The 16,826-nt window shown below is 47.8% G+C and overlaps 2 protein-coding genes across 7 annotated transcripts in view; one reads left to right on the forward strand and one right to left on the reverse strand.

Moving 5' to 3' along the window:
• The window catches only part of EDA (ectodysplasin A), a 423,360-nt gene extending 418,942 nt beyond the window's left edge, over positions 1 to 4,418 (forward strand). For all 5 annotated transcript variants that reach the window (NM_001399.5, NM_001005609.2, NM_001440762.1 and 2 more), the window contains exon 8: positions 304 to 4,418. In NM_001399.5, the coding sequence (NP_001390.1) occupies positions 304 to 555 (252 nt within the window). In that variant the 3' untranslated portion in view covers positions 556 to 4,418. The remainder of the gene's footprint in view (positions 1 to 303) is intronic.
• On the reverse strand, positions 5,488 to 14,884 carry AWAT2 (acyl-CoA wax alcohol acyltransferase 2). 2 transcript variants are annotated; one of them, NM_001002254.1, is made up of 8 exons: positions 14,794 to 14,884; positions 9,298 to 9,408; positions 8,872 to 8,942; positions 8,424 to 8,628; positions 8,015 to 8,189; positions 7,133 to 7,332; positions 6,719 to 6,908; positions 5,488 to 6,568 (listed from the first exon to the last, which is right to left on the reverse strand). In NM_001002254.1, exons 1-7 carry the CDS (start codon positions 14,876 to 14,878, stop codon positions 6,754 to 6,756), a joined length of 1,002 nt encoding a protein of 333 aa, NP_001002254.1. In that variant the 5' UTR covers positions 14,879 to 14,884; the 3' UTR covers positions 5,488 to 6,568; positions 6,719 to 6,753. The 2 variants fall into 2 exon arrangements, with proteins under 2 accessions (NP_001002254.1, XP_011529178.1); XM_011530876.3 differs by having other exon boundaries at positions 6,426 to 6,544.

Below are 16,826 nucleotides of genomic sequence, written 5' to 3' on the forward strand. Positions count from 1 at the left end.
GGGGAACAGGGGCACGGTGAAGCTGCAAATAGGGCATGGTTCTTAGCCTTACAGAGTTTGCGACAAGTGTGCTGTTGTAAGAAAAGTTTGCTCAGCCAGCTGAGCCCCATGGACTAGGGGAAGAACAATGCCTGTCACCTGTCCTTTCCTGTTGGCCAGCTAGCACGCCTTCACATGGCACTGCCCCATCCATGGGGTATACTAACAGCTCATCTGAGAAGATTCTGTCAATTCACCACAGGGAGGGCCCCCCACCCTCTCTTTCCTCTCTTCCCCAATCCCTTCTTGTTGCCTCTCACTCAGGTATACTACATCAACTTCACTGACTTTGCCAGCTATGAGGTGGTGGTGGATGAGAAGCCCTTCCTGCAGTGCACACGCAGCATCGAGACGGGCAAGACCAACTACAACACTTGCTATACCGCAGGCGTCTGCCTCCTCAAGGCCCGGCAGAAGATCGCCGTCAAGATGGTGCACGCTGACATCTCCATCAACATGAGCAAGCACACCACGTTCTTTGGGGCCATCAGGCTGGGTGAAGCCCCTGCATCCTAGATTCCCCCCATTTTGCCTCTGTCCGTGCCCCTTCCCTGGGTTTGGGAGCCAGGACTCCCAGAACCTCTAAGTGCTGCTGTGGAGTGAGGTGTATTGGTGTTGCAGCCGCAGAGAAATGCCCCAGTGTTATTTATTCCCCAGTGACTCCAGGGTGACAAGGCCTGCTTGACTTTCCAGAATGACCTTGAGTTAACAGGACAGTTGATGGAGCCCCAGGGTTTACATGAAGCAGAACCTTCTTTGGTTCCATGTTGACTGACTTATGGCATGACTCTTCAACCCCGAGGTCCCTGTTGTCAGATCTATTGTTTGTTGCACTAAAATGAGGATCCAGGGCAGCAGGCCAGAGAAAGCAAAGGTGCACTCCAGACTCTGGGGGTGGACATCTGACCCCAAGGGGGCTGCTGCTCCTCTCTTGGGTAGGGTAGTGGCTGGGGTGGAGTGGGAAGGGAGCATTGCAGCCTAAGAAGAAGGCCAGAGAGGGAAAAGGCAGGTGCTTTTGGCAGAGACCATAAGAGAAACCTGCCAAGGAGCATCCTTGGCAGTGGGAATGTTCTTTCTGCTCTATACTGTGGCCTGCAGGAGGGTTGGAGTGCTCTTCCCACTCCAGCTGACAGCCACACCGTGGCAGCTTGCTGGGCTTTGGGAAGTTTGCTGTGCTTTGGAACAATCACAGGGAATGGCCACAAACCTGCCCGCCTAAGACCCTGAATCCGTACTTGGGTCACATGACTCTCATTTTATTTACAGCTGTGCTCCACACTCAGAAAATTCCCTGGGGTCACCTTCTAGTTGCCCCCATTCCCAGCCTGACTAGAACTCCTGTCTTCTTTCTCCATGGAGCCTACCTCTGTCTGAGACAGGTGCCTAACCTGGGACCTGTGGTCATGTGAGTCTGGGATATTCTTTAGCTTACCTGGGCACAAACAGAATTTTCCATTTATTAAGCAGTACAAATGTTTTTCATCCATTCCTAATCAAATTCTGTCTGGGGACGAAGGGTTGGACGGGATGACCTCCAGAAGTCCCTTCAATTTCTAGTACCTGTGACTCTTAGCCCTCACCACAGCCTTCTAAATTCCCAAATCCTAGACTGCTCCTGGGCATTAGCAAGGCAGAGCCTTTTTACCTGGCCTAGAAAGGGCAAGGGGTGAGGATAGGACAGAGGGATTTTGTTCAAGTTTGCTGCAACCCAAGTGGACGTTAGGCCAGGCCTTATCTGAAAGGCCAGCAGCTGATGCTGTACTAACCCAGTCTTTCTTCACTCTGGCTTCAAAAAGCCACAGCAGAGCATTGTCACCGCAGGTGCTCATGCTGCTCCCCTAAAGCCAGGCTCAGGAGAAGCCAGTGTCTAGGCACTGAGCAGGGATCTGCCCCCTAGTTCAGGTCCAAATTCACCTTCCCCTAAACCCCAAGCTTCCCAACAGATCATATGGTAGGACCCTCGAGAGCCTTACTTCAAAGTGCCTGGGCTCAGCCTGGTTTCTGGGTGCTAGATCCAGCCCAAACCTGGGAAGGCCAGCCTTGTACAGTCTGCTCCTCTTGTTCCTGAAATGTGTTTCCTTTTCAGGAGATGGGGAATAATTTCCTTCAGGCAGCTGAAATTCACCAAGAACAGCGGGTACTTATTTCTCAGCTGTGCCTTCCCTTTCTAAGCAACCACACTGCTTGGCCCTTCAAGGGTCAGGGTGAGACGTGATGGGCTAGGCCTCCGTTGTCTGGTTGCTAATGACAGCCTTGCAACCCAAGGTGAGGTGAACTCCAGGCATGTGTCTGGCCCTAACTCCTATAAAGTGCCTCGGACAGTCCGCAGTTGTAGCAGAAACCAACAAGAACCACTCCTTCATGTTTGGAAAATAATTTCTCTTGTATTATCTCCTTTGAAGAAGGCAAGGCTGATAATATGACAAACATCATTGTTTAGATGAGGCTCAGAGAGGTAGCACTCTCAGAGTGTTTTGACCAGTTTAAGCCGCAGACCTGGAGCTTCAGCCAGGTCTGACTCCAAAGCTGTTCCATTACACCACAGCATTGTGTGGAATTTGAGGTCTAGAGAGAACCAATAAAAGTGGTAATTGGGAACTGAAATCCTTGAGAGTTCCGGGGAGAAACCCAGAGATGCCTGATTTCATTCCTCGATGGTAATACCCGTCCTCTCGGCTGCCAGGGGCTCTGTGGCAAAAAGAGTCAGACATTTCTTTGGAAAACAGCGAACAGCCTTAGAGCTCTTGTGTTCAGAAGAATCTTCCTGGCACAATGTTGGAGCAGCAGGCCTCTGGGACCCACAGAACTTGTGGCCTTTATGTTCTTTCACCCATCCTAGGAACCAGCCAACCATCATGTGTAGAGCCCCTACTGTGGGCAAAGTCCTCCTTTCATTACCCTACAGACAGCTTACAGGAGCCAGCCTGCTTCCCACAACTACTAGTGTGACTCCTTATCTCTTTCCACCATACCTTAGAGACTTTGATACTACCAGGGTCTCTCAGGGATGGAGGGAAGACCTGAAAGAGAGGACTGGTTCTGAGGCCAGAAAGGTGTGAGGAGAGAGGAGGAAAAGTCTTCCTAATTGTGCCCCTAAAGAGCATCCTGATACCATTCTATTCTCCAGACATGGAGGGGATGATAAAGGAAATAGGATCTCCACTGGACCCTTGATTCATTCTGAACCCTCCAAAGGAACTCTAGAGGGCGAGGGATGATGAGGGAAGCAATAGGTAGCTGGGGAGCCCTATTGCTGCTAAGTCATTGGCAAAGTGACAAAGCAATTTACTGATGAGAGAATGTGGAAATAGATGTGCAGTTTGGAATTATGTTGGTGTGAATTTGCCAGAGGACCAATGCTTGCATGGAGAATGGGACGAGGACATTTGTGGGCAAGCAGATGACAGAGGTTTGAAGGAGAATGGCATGGCAGGAGTCTCTGCCAGTTACTTGGGCTTCAACAGCCAAGCTGGCACAAAAGACAGCTGGCGGAGGCTGCTCGGCTACTGGTTACCTGGAGAAGTAGTATTTGCCTATTTCCCCCTTCATCCATCCTGAGCCAAATTTCTTTTGCTGAACAGGAAAGAGCTAGGAACCCTGGAGGTAAACAAAGACTTTGATCCATGTATGAGTGTATGTGTTTATGTAACTTCCTGTGGATGCAAATAGATTCAGAGAAATTTAGAGCTAAAAAGGCCCTTAGAGGGAATCTAGCCCAACCTACATTCCACCCTGTTACTTATGTAGAAACTGAGGCCCAGAGAGGGAAGATGACCTGCCCCAAGTGGTGAGCAAGCACCAACCTCCAGACTCAGCAGAGTGAGGGGGTAAAGCAGTTCCTGTCCCACATGGCCATCTTCTTTCTTCCACCCACAAACTCCAGGCTGGAAGTACTTGGCCCCCTTCAGGAGCCTGGCCAGGCAGGGAGAGAGTAGCTGCAGCCTTCATCAGAACTCTTCCTCCTCCCAAGGCATTCTCCCAGCTCTAGCCTCTGGACTGGAAAGCACAAGACTGGCCCAGTGCCAGCAAGTCCTTAGGCTACTGTAATGCTGCCTCAGGACCCATCCCTGCCTGGAGGCTCCTCTAGGCCCTGTGAGCACAAAGAAGAAAGCTGATTTTTGTCTTTTAATCCATTTCAGGACTCTCTCCAGGAGGGCTCGGGGTGTGTCATTTCTATATTCCTCCAGCTGGGATTGGGGGGTGGGCTTTGTTGTGAGAATGGCCTGGAGCAGGCCCAATGCTGCTTTTGGGGGTCAGCATCCAGTGTGAGATACTGTGTATATAAACTATATATAATGTATATAAACTGGGATGTAAGTTTGTGTAAATTAATGGTTTATTCTTTGCAAATAAAACGCTTTCCCCGTCTGTTCTTGAAATCGGCGTGAGTACTTCCTACATGTTAGGTGCTTCTTTGCAAATGACGCCACACATGAGCTAGGGGAAGGACTAAGGCACCCATTTCAGAGGCAGCAACAGAAGGAAGATGGTCTGAATTTCCTGTTGGAACATCCCACATTCTCTCCATGCCTCAGACCACACTCCCACATCCCCATTACCTTAGGTCAGGGTGTCCAGTCTTTTGGCTTCCCTGGGCCACATTGGAAGAATTGTCTTGGGCCACACATAAAATACACTAACACTAACAATAGCTGATGAGCTAAAAAAAAAAAAAAAAAAAAAAGTCACAAAAAATTCTCATCATGTTTTAAGAAAGTTTATGAATTTGTGTTGGGCCCCATTCAAAGCCATCCTGGCCCACATGTGGCCCGCAGGCCACAGGTTAGACAACCTTGCCTTAGGTCTTCTGTGACTGTGACCACATGACCGGTAGGCTAGATGTCCTGCCAAAAGGAACATTGTCCTGGGGCAGCAATACACAGAACTGACTCACTCTCAGCTTAAGAATGTGGCATCTACAAAAGATACTTCAGGCCTGGGCCCCAAATAGCCTGGGTAGACCCAGCCTCCAGCTCATTTTGCAGATGAGGAAACCAACACTTTAATTTGAATTTAAGTGGCTCACCCAGAGTTACCCAACTAGTAAGTGTGTCAACCTGGTCTGATTCCTTCCCAGCCGAGGCTGCTGTTACCTGGGAAAGTAGTATTTGCCTATTTTCCCCTCCATCCATCCTGAGCCAAAATCAATAAGGAAGAGGCTCACATGAAAAAGACCAGATTGCAGCTCAAGAACACGTAGCTCAAGAGAGGTCTTGCGCTTTTCACAACCCCAGCAGCCTTTCCCCCAGCCCCCCGCCAATCTTTTGGCTTCCCTGGGCCCGCCCCTGTGCCATCGTATAGGTGGAACAATGTGCACACAGCAGACCACGACAAACCTGCAATGGCCAGGTGTGCATGGGCTGGGTGTTGGAGCCCAGGCTGGTCCTATGGCCACCTTAGAGGTTTGTTTGTTTGTTTTTTAAGGAAACCAGTCACAGGAAAGCTACAGACTGTTTAAAAACACTTTATGGAAGCTCAGGGAAAACGTAATCTCTGGCACAAGAAGTAACAAAGACAGCAGAAAAGCAGAAGCATGTCTTTGGCCACTGTATACAAATCATCACATGAGGCAGGCACCCAGGATAGAGGCAGCAGCTCACACTGCAGTAAACACGCAGGATGTTGTAGACCAAATTGACCAACGTAATGCAGGTAAATCACTGGACCAAATGGCACCCACCCAAGAGGGATGGAATGAGAGGGATGTGAGCCAAATTTTGTAGCCTGTCATTGCAACAGCCATTAGACCAAGAGTCTGAGAGACTTGCCATTCAGAAGGAGAGTTCTTTATGGCTGCTAAAAGCCAGGCGCCTCATTTTCATCCTGAGCAGGCTGGCTGACTCTCAAACAAAGGCCAGAATTATAGGGCCACACAAGTATAGGCAAGTTGCTGAGGGAATGACAGAGAAAATTAGGCCTGAGCCCAACCCATTCTGTTACAGCTTTGTGAGGCAGAAACTGAGTGAGGGCTAGTGGGTAGCAGAGGGTATTTCGGGCGTTGTTTGCTCAGGGACAGGAAATGGGTAAAATGGTTGGAGAAGAAAATGGTGTAGCTCTCCAGTTTATAAAGTTCAATCACATCCAATATTGTTTGATCTTCCCAACGGCCTTTGAGGTAAGCAAGAGACAGATTGTTAGTCTCATTTTATAGAAGAAGAAAGGAGGCTCAGAGGTGACTGATTGCCCCAAAGTCACATGGCTTGAAGTTGGTGGAGCTTAAACTCAAAGCCCACTGGCTCTCAAGGCCCCAGTCCTACTCCTGTAGGAAGCAGGACTCAATGCCAGAAGATGGGGCTCAATGCCGGGAGATGGGGCTGTTTGACAGCTAGAGAAGGAGAGACATGCATCCCAGAGCCTTCAAAACAGAGTAGTTGGTGCACACGCAGTTATCAGAAGATGGGCTTTTTATTTTGTCCATTGTTTTCCTCAATGCTGGCACCAAAGTGCCGTCAGGGCACCTCTCCCCTAGGCTCTTCCCTGTTTCTTGGGACTATCTCACCAGTAGCTGCAAAGAAAGGGCAGAAAAGAGCTGGAAGGAAAAAAAAGGAGGTGGGAAAAGGAGTGCAGAAAACAAGCAAATGAACAAACAGCCCCTCCCCATAAGGAGGACTGGTCAAATCAGGAGCGGGAGCCTGATAGGTGACTTTTGTCCTCCTGTTCTCACTGGGTCCATCCATACCTTCCAGCCAGGGTGAAGGCTACTGGGGATGTCTGTCAAATTATCTCCAGCTCCTGGGTCTCTGAGATACCAAACTTGGTCTTATGCTGGTCAAACAGTTTACGTAGGGCATCAATATAGAGTGTGTGATATTTAGCCACGATCTCCTGGCTTGGATTCTCAATCTTGGGCATTGGTAGAGGCTCCCCGACTGCCAGGGGAGACAGTGAAGGAAAAGGGAAAAGCATCAGAATAGCTCATTCCTCAGAATGGGCCCCAGGCTTCAAGCCCAGACTCTTCCCCATCCTCACCTCAAAAAGCTGCCACTCATCCCAGCCAGCCTCCCTGCCTCTGAGCAGAGTCAGAGCTGAGGTTCAGCCTCAGAGCTAGATCCTGTGTCCTAGACTCAGGCTGCCAGCAGAAACGCCCACTCACCGATGGTGGTTACAGGCCGACTATAGGGCAGAAGGCCCCAGGAGTTCTTGGTGAAGCCACGTCCATAGAAAGCACAAGGGTAGATGTGTACCATGCTCTGGAACCACTTCTGGAAGCGGTTGACAAAGCCACCAGGAGTGAAAATGTGCTGATCATAGAGGTCCGTCTCCCCAAAGGCATAGGCAGGTATTAGAGGCACCCTGCAGAGCAAAAGCATATCTTCTGAAGCCCAGAAAGGTAGGGACCTTGTCGAATGCCAGACACGCTGACGGCGCATGATCCCTGGGTCTGCCTACAGGCTTCTCAGACCCCAGTCCAGCTGTGCCTAGGTCCAAGTTGAGTGTGGGGGCTCCATGGCCTACCCCTGGCTGCCTGTGGGAGCAAAGTAGCAGTAAGCTAAAGAAGGAGGCAAGCCCAGACCCTCCTGGGAACCCCTGGGTCTGAAACGCTGGAAAGTAAGACCCAAGGGCCATGCCAGTTGATTTTCTTCACTTTAACACAAGCTAAGCTTGGCTCTCTCTGAGACAGGGTTGTTGCCAGTCCCCTTGTATAGAGGGGCCGGCCCAGATGAGAGGCTGGTGTGAGGGAGAACAGGCTCAGGGCTGGCCCTCTGCCCATTCTGCTTCAGCAGAAATGCCTCCAGGACCTGGCCCCAGCTCTTCAACCCAGAGGTGGCTTTCCTCCTCCCTCTTTTTTTTTTTTAACTTATTTATTTTTTTAATTGACAAATAAAACTTATCTTTCTGATGACCATAGTTCGTAAGAATGTATTGTATACTTCCTCCTCTCTCTGTGGATGTCCTTTCATCAAAACCCCCTCTTCTTCTTTCCCTGCAACACTTTTGGATCCCTTCCGCCAGCCTGGACTGGAGCTGTCCTTACCCATGCTGAAGGGCCATGCGCACAAAGCCAGACCGGTTCTTCAACACCAGGGTAGAAGAACCTGGCAGGCTGTATCTGCACTCAGCCAGTCCACCAATCACCACAATGACCATGTTGCCTGTGCCTTTATGAGTCAGCAGAAAGTCAATGGAGGATCGACTCACAGAGCAGGCCCCTGGTGGATAGAAAAAGCCAAACAGCCACTGGTCACTTCCCAAACCCCTACATTTCCTTTCTACTGCTTCAAAGGAGGGGGAGTGCAAGGAGCCTAACATCAGGCAGGTGAGCCTATGATAGCTGTTTCACACCAGAGGGGATTGGGAGCTGGCCTTGCTCTCACGCATCCCCCTACAATTCTCCCTTGGGGAGCCATTTTTTCTTTGGCTTTGTGTCCTAGGAGCCAACTTACCTGTAGACATTACATATTCTCTGAGGAAAGGCATCCAGAAAAAGGCTCCCAGTGTGAGTATGTAAGGGGTGATGCCAGGAAATATCTTGGAGAAGCCTGAGGCCTCTGTGGCAAAGTGGCCAAACCATCCATGGGCAAAGAGCCCATGAGGGTGGCAGACGAGGATGTAGTTGCGGCTGGGGCAGATGTCATGAGTCTTCAGAAGCTGCGGAAGAAAGTAGAATCAGGAGGGCTATTCCCAGGGTAGAGAACTTCTCTTTTGGGCAGAGATCTGAAAGGAAAAGGACTGCTAGGTCTAGCCATGCAGGTTGCCCAATGTGCAACTCCAGGGGGCGTCATTCTCAAGAGGCTCAATGTGGATGGCGCCCTCCACCCCTAGCCTGACCCAACTGCTAGCACTGAAGTCGGGGCTGGACCTGGGCCTGAGTGGGGACCTGGGGCTACTGACCTTGAGAGGGAAATAATCGCTGTAGTGTTTCCACAGGCGCCAGTGCCTCACACAGGTAAACCGGCGGCCGCCTGAAAACAGAGGCAATGCAGCCAAGCTTTGTCCATTCCCACTGTGGGCCTGCCCCAGGGTGCTCTCACCCCCTGCTGTTTCCTGGCCTCTTAAGTGGCAACCAAGGTGGGCATATCAGGGCAATTTAGGACAGGCCTAGCTTCTGCTTCACTAGCTGCCCCTCCCCTAACCCACTCCAGTTCTGATCTGGGCCTTTCTACCACCTTAAAAGGACCCCTTCCCTCAGCCTCTCTAGCCCAGGGAGGGACAGGCTAAAGGGCTGTCTGGGAATTGGCCAGAGCCTCTCAGGATTGTGATGAGAGAAGGGGAAAGAGCATGTGGCATGTGGCAACACAGCACCAGCAGGATGCTTACCTCGCTGAGGGGTCTTCCAGTCAAAAGCCAGCCAGGTAAGAATAAGCACAGTGACAGGCCAGTATGGTGTGAACACCACCAGGTAGAGGTTGACAGCAATCACAGTGGTTGCTGCAGGAAGCCCAGACCAGAGTTAATGAATTTCAAGCAGTCCCTCACACTTACCCTCTCTCCGGAGTTCTGTCCACCCCAAGGTCACGTGCACTCTCTCTCACCCATACCCACTCAACACTCTCACTTCTTCACCCCAGCACCTGGCCCATCTGCCCATGTTCCCAGCCCCCTCTTCTATCTGGCCTTGGGAACCCGATTCAGGTCTAGAAGGGAAGGTGTCTTCTTCCCCAGCTGAGCTGAATTCACACTGTAAGCCCTCTCCTCTCTGGGCCCTGCTCCAGCACTGCACTGGGCTCTGCCTGCAGTGTGGTCAATGGCAGTGAGCCAGCGGTGGGCCACCAGAGGTGGGGAATCCTGGAACAGTTTTCCTCCAATTCACGTCCTCCTCTCCAAATCTTCTCTCTGAGGCATTAGTTAAGGGAATACCAGGGAAAGCAAAGACCCATCTTCAGCCCAGTTGGGAGCACACCAGATGGCAAACAAAGAAAAATACAAACCAGAATAGAATAAGGTACTGGGCTGTATTAAGTTCCAGTAAGATAGGAACACTGTAGGTTAGCATGGTTAGGAAGAGTTACTAGAGATGAGTCATAGGGAGCCACACTCAGAATTACTACTGGACTCAGTTTTTAAGGCAGCTGTAGTAAGATTATTTGGGAAAGTGGGTCAGTAAAAGGTTAGAAAAGACAGAGAACATTTCTAATTGAACATTGCAGATTGAACACAAGGTTTTGCCTTGACTTCTTGCTGGAGCTCCATGAAAATTATCATTAAAATGTTTTTTAAAGTGTAGATCCACAAGGAGAAAGAGAATTAATGAGATGCCAACAGCAGATAAGAGATATTAGCAAAACATTTCCATGTAGGAAAGCAGATGGAAGAGTGGGTAACTGACTTAGAACAAAAAAATTAAAATCTAGTTACCTGCAAGGGGGATGCCTACAAGATGTGAGCCTATTTGCACTGGAGGATCTAGGAAAGACTCAGAATTTGGAGGCATCAGGTGCCACAAGAGGCAGGGATGAGGCACAGGGCTAGAAAAACTGGAGGATTGGTTGAAAGTCTGCCAAGGAATTAGAACCCCAGGTTCCCTCTCCTCCCCTACACAACTGGATGATGGGAGGATTGTTCCCCAAAAAATTGAACCAAACAGACTCTAGACTCAAATACTTACACTAGACACAGCTAAGATATTATATATGCAGCCAAATTATTAATCAAGTATAGAAGTGGAATAAAGGTAATTTCAGATGCACACCGTCTCAGATAATTGGTCTCCCATGCTCCTGTCTCAGAAAACTACTGGAGAATGTGCTTCACCAAAATGAGGGAGTAAACCAAGAAAGAGGAAGGCATAGAATCCAGGAAAAAAAGGACCCAACAAAGGAGGGCAGCAAGCAGGGCCAGGGATAGGGAGAGGTGAGCAAGGTGCCCAGGGCACAACATTGAGCAAGACACTAACTCTCAGGTCATGCATGTACTGGCCCATCACTTGCACAGCCCTGAGAGTGAGCAGCTTCTTAAATTTTGCACCCAAGGTGTCTCAAGGGCCCTGGAGGTGACAGCTGTGCATGAGGCCAAATTGTAACAGGAAGATACCAGGCTCCAGCAGCGATGTTCTAAAGGAAATAAAAGGATGGGGGGACTTAGATTCTTGTTGCATTTGCCCGTACTGAGAGATTGACAGGTCTGCACAGATTCAGAGGGTGAATTCATGATAACTAATAGATTTCTAATAGATAATAAAAGAAATGTAAAATGAAGCAATTAACTACAATTCATTTCAGTTTACGGTATGAGTAAGGCTACAACTAGACTTTCTGAATGAAATGAATGATTTTTCTAATACTTTGTGGTAAGAAACCCACCCCCTATATGGCTTTAGGATGCTTCACTATGAAATGTTAAATTTGTGTGTCTGTTTCAAGACCACTGTACTCAATTTTTTTTTTTTTTTTGGACAGGGTCTCACTCTGTCACCTAGGTTGGAGTGCAGTGCCATGATCTCAGCTCACTGCAACTTCCGCCTCCCGGGTTCAAGCAGTTCTTGTGCCTCAACCTCCCCAGTAGCTAGGATTACAGGTGCACGCCACCATGCCTGGCTGATTTTTGTATCTTTAGCAGAGATGGGGTTTCACCATGTTGGCCAGGCTGGTCTCAAACTCCTGACCTCAAGTGATCCACCCACCTCAGCCTCCCAAAGTGCTAGGATTATAGACGTGAGCCGCCGCCACCGACCTGTACTCAATAATTTTATCTGTGAATTCTAGAGTCTGTGAAGCTTTTTATGTAACAGTTTTCTACCCAATATTTAATAGGGAGCATTCACAACTGTGCTTCCTCTTTTCTAGTCTCAACGGTTTCTTTTTCCAGAAAAACTTTGAAATTATTTTGTCAAATTGCAATGATGATACTTCTAGGATTGGAATTAGGTATTTTTAATCCTTATGTTAAGTAGAAAAAGTTTTATTTCTATAAAATATTTAGTACTTAAGATTCAAAAATTGATTTTAAAATATTACACTAAAAAATAAAATAATAAAATAAAATGAGGCAATTATTAACTTCAGGGAAAACAGGAAATTCCATGGGAAAGGAAATATAATCTTGGTGACTAAATAGCTCAATTATGAATCATATTTTCTAGTCATAGGCATTTAACCAAAACCTGTGCTATAACAATTTTGGGAGGATGGGGGAAGAGGAAGTTCTAGTGATAGTGTGCACAGCCAAATTCTCATCTTCCATATTAGGAAGTCAATAGACAATGTCTAAAATTGTTACATCAGCAAATAATAAGATTTAGAAATATGGAAGTAAATTCCAGAAGAAAGAACCAACAAAGTTGAAAAGCACTGCCTTGGGAAAGAGAATTAAGGGTAGAGCAAAGGCCAGCAGTTCTAGGGTTTTGATAAGTGCCATATGACACTACTGACTTCTTTGAGAAGTAAAGAGAGGCATTGGGTCTGATCCAGAGGACACCTCCCAGTTTCCTTTAGGCTCTGCTCAAACCTAGGCAGTGCTGGGGACATCTTGTAAGCGTGGCCTCAGGTGGGGTGCCCTGTGATGTGATGAATCTTGGATCTGCCACTTACTGTGTGTGACCAAAGACGTTGCTGAACCTCAGTTCCTCATCTGCAAGATGGGAACTAAAATACCAATATCTGCACTATTTCCCTCACTTATTGGGAGGGCCTTCTCTCAAGGCCTTTAGGGTCCGGATGGATTCAATTGCACTCCTAGAGTGAAGAGCTGAGAGGCCTCCGAAGGGCCATTGCCCCACTTGCCCTATGTGAACTAGTGAGGAAGGGGCAAACGCCTGCAGCCCATATCTGCTGCCAGGACCGAGAGCTCTTCTGCCTGCCCTCTCTGTACCTCTTAGTATACCCCGAAGTCAAACTCCAGTTAAGAGTCCTCTGAGTCCATTTTGTCCCTGGACTCATCCCCTTTCAGCCACTCTCCTCCTTAACCCTTCTCTGCCCCACCTGCCCCCCTGCCAGCTCACACTGGGACCTGATCCCTCAGTCTTGCTTCCTCCATTTCTCCCGTGCCCCCACCCCCCATCTTCAAGTCCTATTCATTCTACTCCAATTTCTTGAATCTCCCCTCTTCTTTCCTCTTCTCTGCATCACCATCACTACCGGCCTGGTCCAAATTACCGCCATCTGGATTATTGCAACAGCCTCCTACCTGGCATTGCCCCTTCCACTTCTATCTTCCTATAATCAGTTGACTTCACAGAGCTAGAGTAATCTCTGATGCCATCACCCTGTGTCAGTCTCCCTCATGGCTCCACATGGCTCTCAAAAAAAGTCCAAACTCCTTCCCATGGTTTACAAAGCCCTACACAATCTGTCCCCTGCCTGTTTCTCCAGTCTCTTCCTTCTTCCCTCTCTTGTTTGTTCATTCATTCATTCAATAAATATATATCGAGCACCAATTCTGTGCTTCTCACCCTCCACCTCACTTAACCACTGGCAGCTCCTTGAATGCATTATGTGCCCTTTGCCATCCTAGCTTTTCCATGTGTTGCCCACTCTCTGCCCCAAATGCTCTTCCTTTCTTCACCTATTTCCTATTTGTCCTTCAAGAGTCAACTCAAATTCAAGAGAAAAATGGGCAGAGGTCATAAATGGGCAGTTAACAGAAAAAGAAATACTAATTGCTGATAAACATGAAAAGATGCTCAAACTCATCAGTAATTAAGGACGTTCAAAATGAGGCGACAGCTCATGGTTTCTTGCCTATCACTTCTGGGTGGAGGTAGTAAGGACTGTGAATGAGTTCTCCATTCACTTTCCCTCCCATGCTGTGGTAATCCCTCAAGCCCCATTTTGCAGCGACACAATTTGGTGGTGCCTCCGTCAGCCTGAATATCAATGTCCACAGTGAGCGGTGACTCCCACCAACCTATGTTGGACATTCAGCATGAACAAGAAATAAACATTTGCTGGGTTAAGCCACTGAGATTTCAGGGTGAATTTATCAGCACGGCATACCTAGACCATCCTGATTAATACACCCTGAATGCTCCCACTTTGCAAATGAGGAAAACAAGACTCAGAAAGGATAAATACCTTGCTAAGAATTACACAGATAGTAAGTAGTAGAACTGGAATTTGAAAACAGGTGAGGTGAGGTAAGGAATGCCCACCCTTCCTATTCACTGGCGTGCCTCTGTGCCAGCTCTGTGCACCAAGGCCTATCTGCATTCTTTATTCCTAGATAGCTTGCAAGGTCACTTAATTCATTTCCCTGACTCCAGCCAGTACTCACCTGAACCACTGGAAAGGCAAGAATGTTTTCCAGGACCCCTTCCCACAGTGATGATTTGTTTCAGCATTTAGAACACAGTGGCCAGCATAGAAATAACTTTCACAAAGTGTTTGTAGTGTAAGCGTTGGAAGACATGGATGGATAAATTGTCGAATTCCTCAGGATGAGGTTTCCAGAGCCTCGGTCTGCCACCTGACCCAACTATCTCTAATTGGTGGTTTGCTTGAGTCCCTGTGATTGCAGCCAAGCCCTTTTCCTTGGCTAGCCTCAGTGGAACTGCTCCTCATCTTCCCAAAGAATGCCCTCTACACCCCAATGTAGACCGAGAAGGGCTCACACCTGCAGCAAAGTCCATGTGCATAGACGTGCATATACACACCCCTGCATAGGCACACACCCATATGCACACACACATGCCCACAGGGACACTCACAGATCCCACAAATACCATGGCCAGGTGGGTCAGGCCAGAGGCTGGTGTTACCAACCTTCCTGGTTTTACTGGAACAACCCTAGTTTGACCATTGAACATCCTGCAACCCTAAAATCCTTCAGTCTCAGGCAAGCCAGGATGGTTGGTCACCCTACCAAAGGCTGAAGACTCACTGATAAGCAAGGCACTGAAGGACCACTGGAAAACAGCAAAGACATCCAGGGCAGTCTTGAGGTCCTTCTTAGAGGGCAAGAGCATTGTGCCCAGCGTCCCAGTGGCTCCAGGTAAGCACTGTTCAGCTGCCCAGCCCTGATTGCTCAGGAGTCTGTGATGTTTCCTCTCTTAATGTTTTCTTCCCCAGCCTCTGGCTAGCCTCCGCCCCTGTACCACCCCTCCACAGAATTACAGGACCATATAATGCCTCTGCTTATCCAGTTCCTTCCAGCTGCCCACTCACCTGTACTTTTACCCACTTGGGTATTGCCTGGACTGAGATTGTGACACTCCTTTGCGCACTTGGCTAGAGAAATGTGATGAAACCCTGGTGTGAAAGTTAGTGTGGGCGTGCAGCTGACAAGAGGCCTCCAGGGCCAGTCTGGATGGTGGAGAGTGATGGGCAGGAAGGAGCCCAGGGCTCAAATGGGACACAGGGCTTGCATTTCTGTTTCTGAGGCCCAACTGTCTATGGTCTCTCAGTGACAATGGGATTGGAGGGCAGAGGGAAGGAGGTCACAGGCAAGGCCTTAGAAATACCTTCAGCCTTTTAGTCAGTCTGGGAGAACTCATTACTCACATTGAAGAGACATCACATGTATGTCTGTGAGCTATCATAGGTACTGAATAAACCTATTATTGAATGAAGAAACAAATATTGGTGTATATTATTCTGTGTACATGAAATTTTAGAATAGGCAAAACCAATCTATAGTGAAACAAATCACAGCAGTGGTTACCTGTGCTTGGGGATTGACTAGGAAGGGGCATGATGGAAACCTTTAGGGGTAACAGTGACGTTCTCTGTCTTGATAGGACTGTGAGTTACACAGATCAAAACCTCATTACTCAGTGAGTATACACTTAAAATGTGTACGTTTCACTGCCTGTGGATTTTACCTCGAAAGTAAAAAAAAAAAGTTGAACTCTCATTAATTCTGAAGTGTTTAGGGGTGAAGAATACTAGGCTGGGCATGGTAGCTCACACCTGTAATCCCAGCACTTTGGGAGGCCAAGGCAGGAGGATCACTTGAGGCCAGGAATTAGAGATTACAGTGAGCTATGACCGTGCCACTGCACTCCAGCCTGGATGACAGAGTGAGACACTGTCTCTAAAAAAACAAAACAAAAAAGAGTGCTGATGTCTGCAATTTACTTTGAAATGCATGTAAAATATATTGATGGATGGATACAGGGATGTACTGATGGATAAATATGTAATAAATCAAACAAAGATTGATTTATTAAATCTAGTAAAATATATAAATATTTTATATTTTTAATATTTTAATATTTTTTATATTTTAATATATTTTTATATATTAATATTTATATATAATATATTAAATATATTTTTATATTTTAATATTTTATATTTTATATTTCTGTACAGATAACATAAAATATTATCTGTACAATCTAGGTGGTGGGTATTCACTGTACAATTCTTTCAACTACTCGGTAGGTTTGAATTTTTTTATAATAGAATTTTGAAAAAAGAGTTCCCTCAAGGTCATACTTTGGGAGGCCGAGGCAGGCAGATCACCTGAGGTCGGGAGTTCGAAACCAGCCTGACCAACATGGAGAAACCCCATCTCTACTGAAAAATACACAATTAGCCGGGCGTGGTGGCACATGCCTGTAATCCCAGCTACTCAGGAGGCTGAGGCAGGAGAATCGCTTGAACCCAGGAGATGGAAGCTGTGGTGAGCTGAGATCGCACCATTGCACTCCAGCCTAGGCAACGGGAGCAAAACTCTGTCTCAAAAAAAAAAAGTAGTGGCTCGCTCCTGTAATCCCAGCATTTTGGGAGGCCAAGGTGGGTGGATCACATGAGGCCAGGAATTCGAGACCAGCCTGGCCAATATGGCGACACCCCATCTCTACTAAAAATACAAAAAATTAGCCGGACATGGTGGCGTGTGCCTATAATCCCAACTACTCTGGAGGATGAGGCATGAGAATCACTTGAACCCGGGAGGCAGAGGTTGCA

The sequence above is a fragment of the Homo sapiens genome, chromosome X (genome assembly GCF_000001405.40).
Source record: "Homo sapiens chromosome X, GRCh38.p14 Primary Assembly".
Taxonomy (NCBI): Eukaryota; Metazoa; Chordata; class Mammalia; order Primates; family Hominidae; genus Homo; species Homo sapiens.

Bases quoted from the DNA above. Each gene is read 5' to 3' on its own strand.
- AWAT2 (NM_001002254.1), bottom strand. From the start codon at position 14,878: ATGCTCTTGCCCTCTAAGAAGGACCTCAAGACTGCCCTGGATGTCTTT. The intron at 8,629-8,871 runs GTCAGTAGCCCC...TTTCTTCCGCAG, and splicing joins GCGATTATTTCCCTCTCAAG to CTTCTGAAGACTCATGACAT. The intron at 6,909-7,132 runs GTGAGTGGGCGT...CTCCCCTGGCAG, and splicing joins TCGGCCTGTAACCACCATCG to TCGGGGAGCCTCTACCAATG.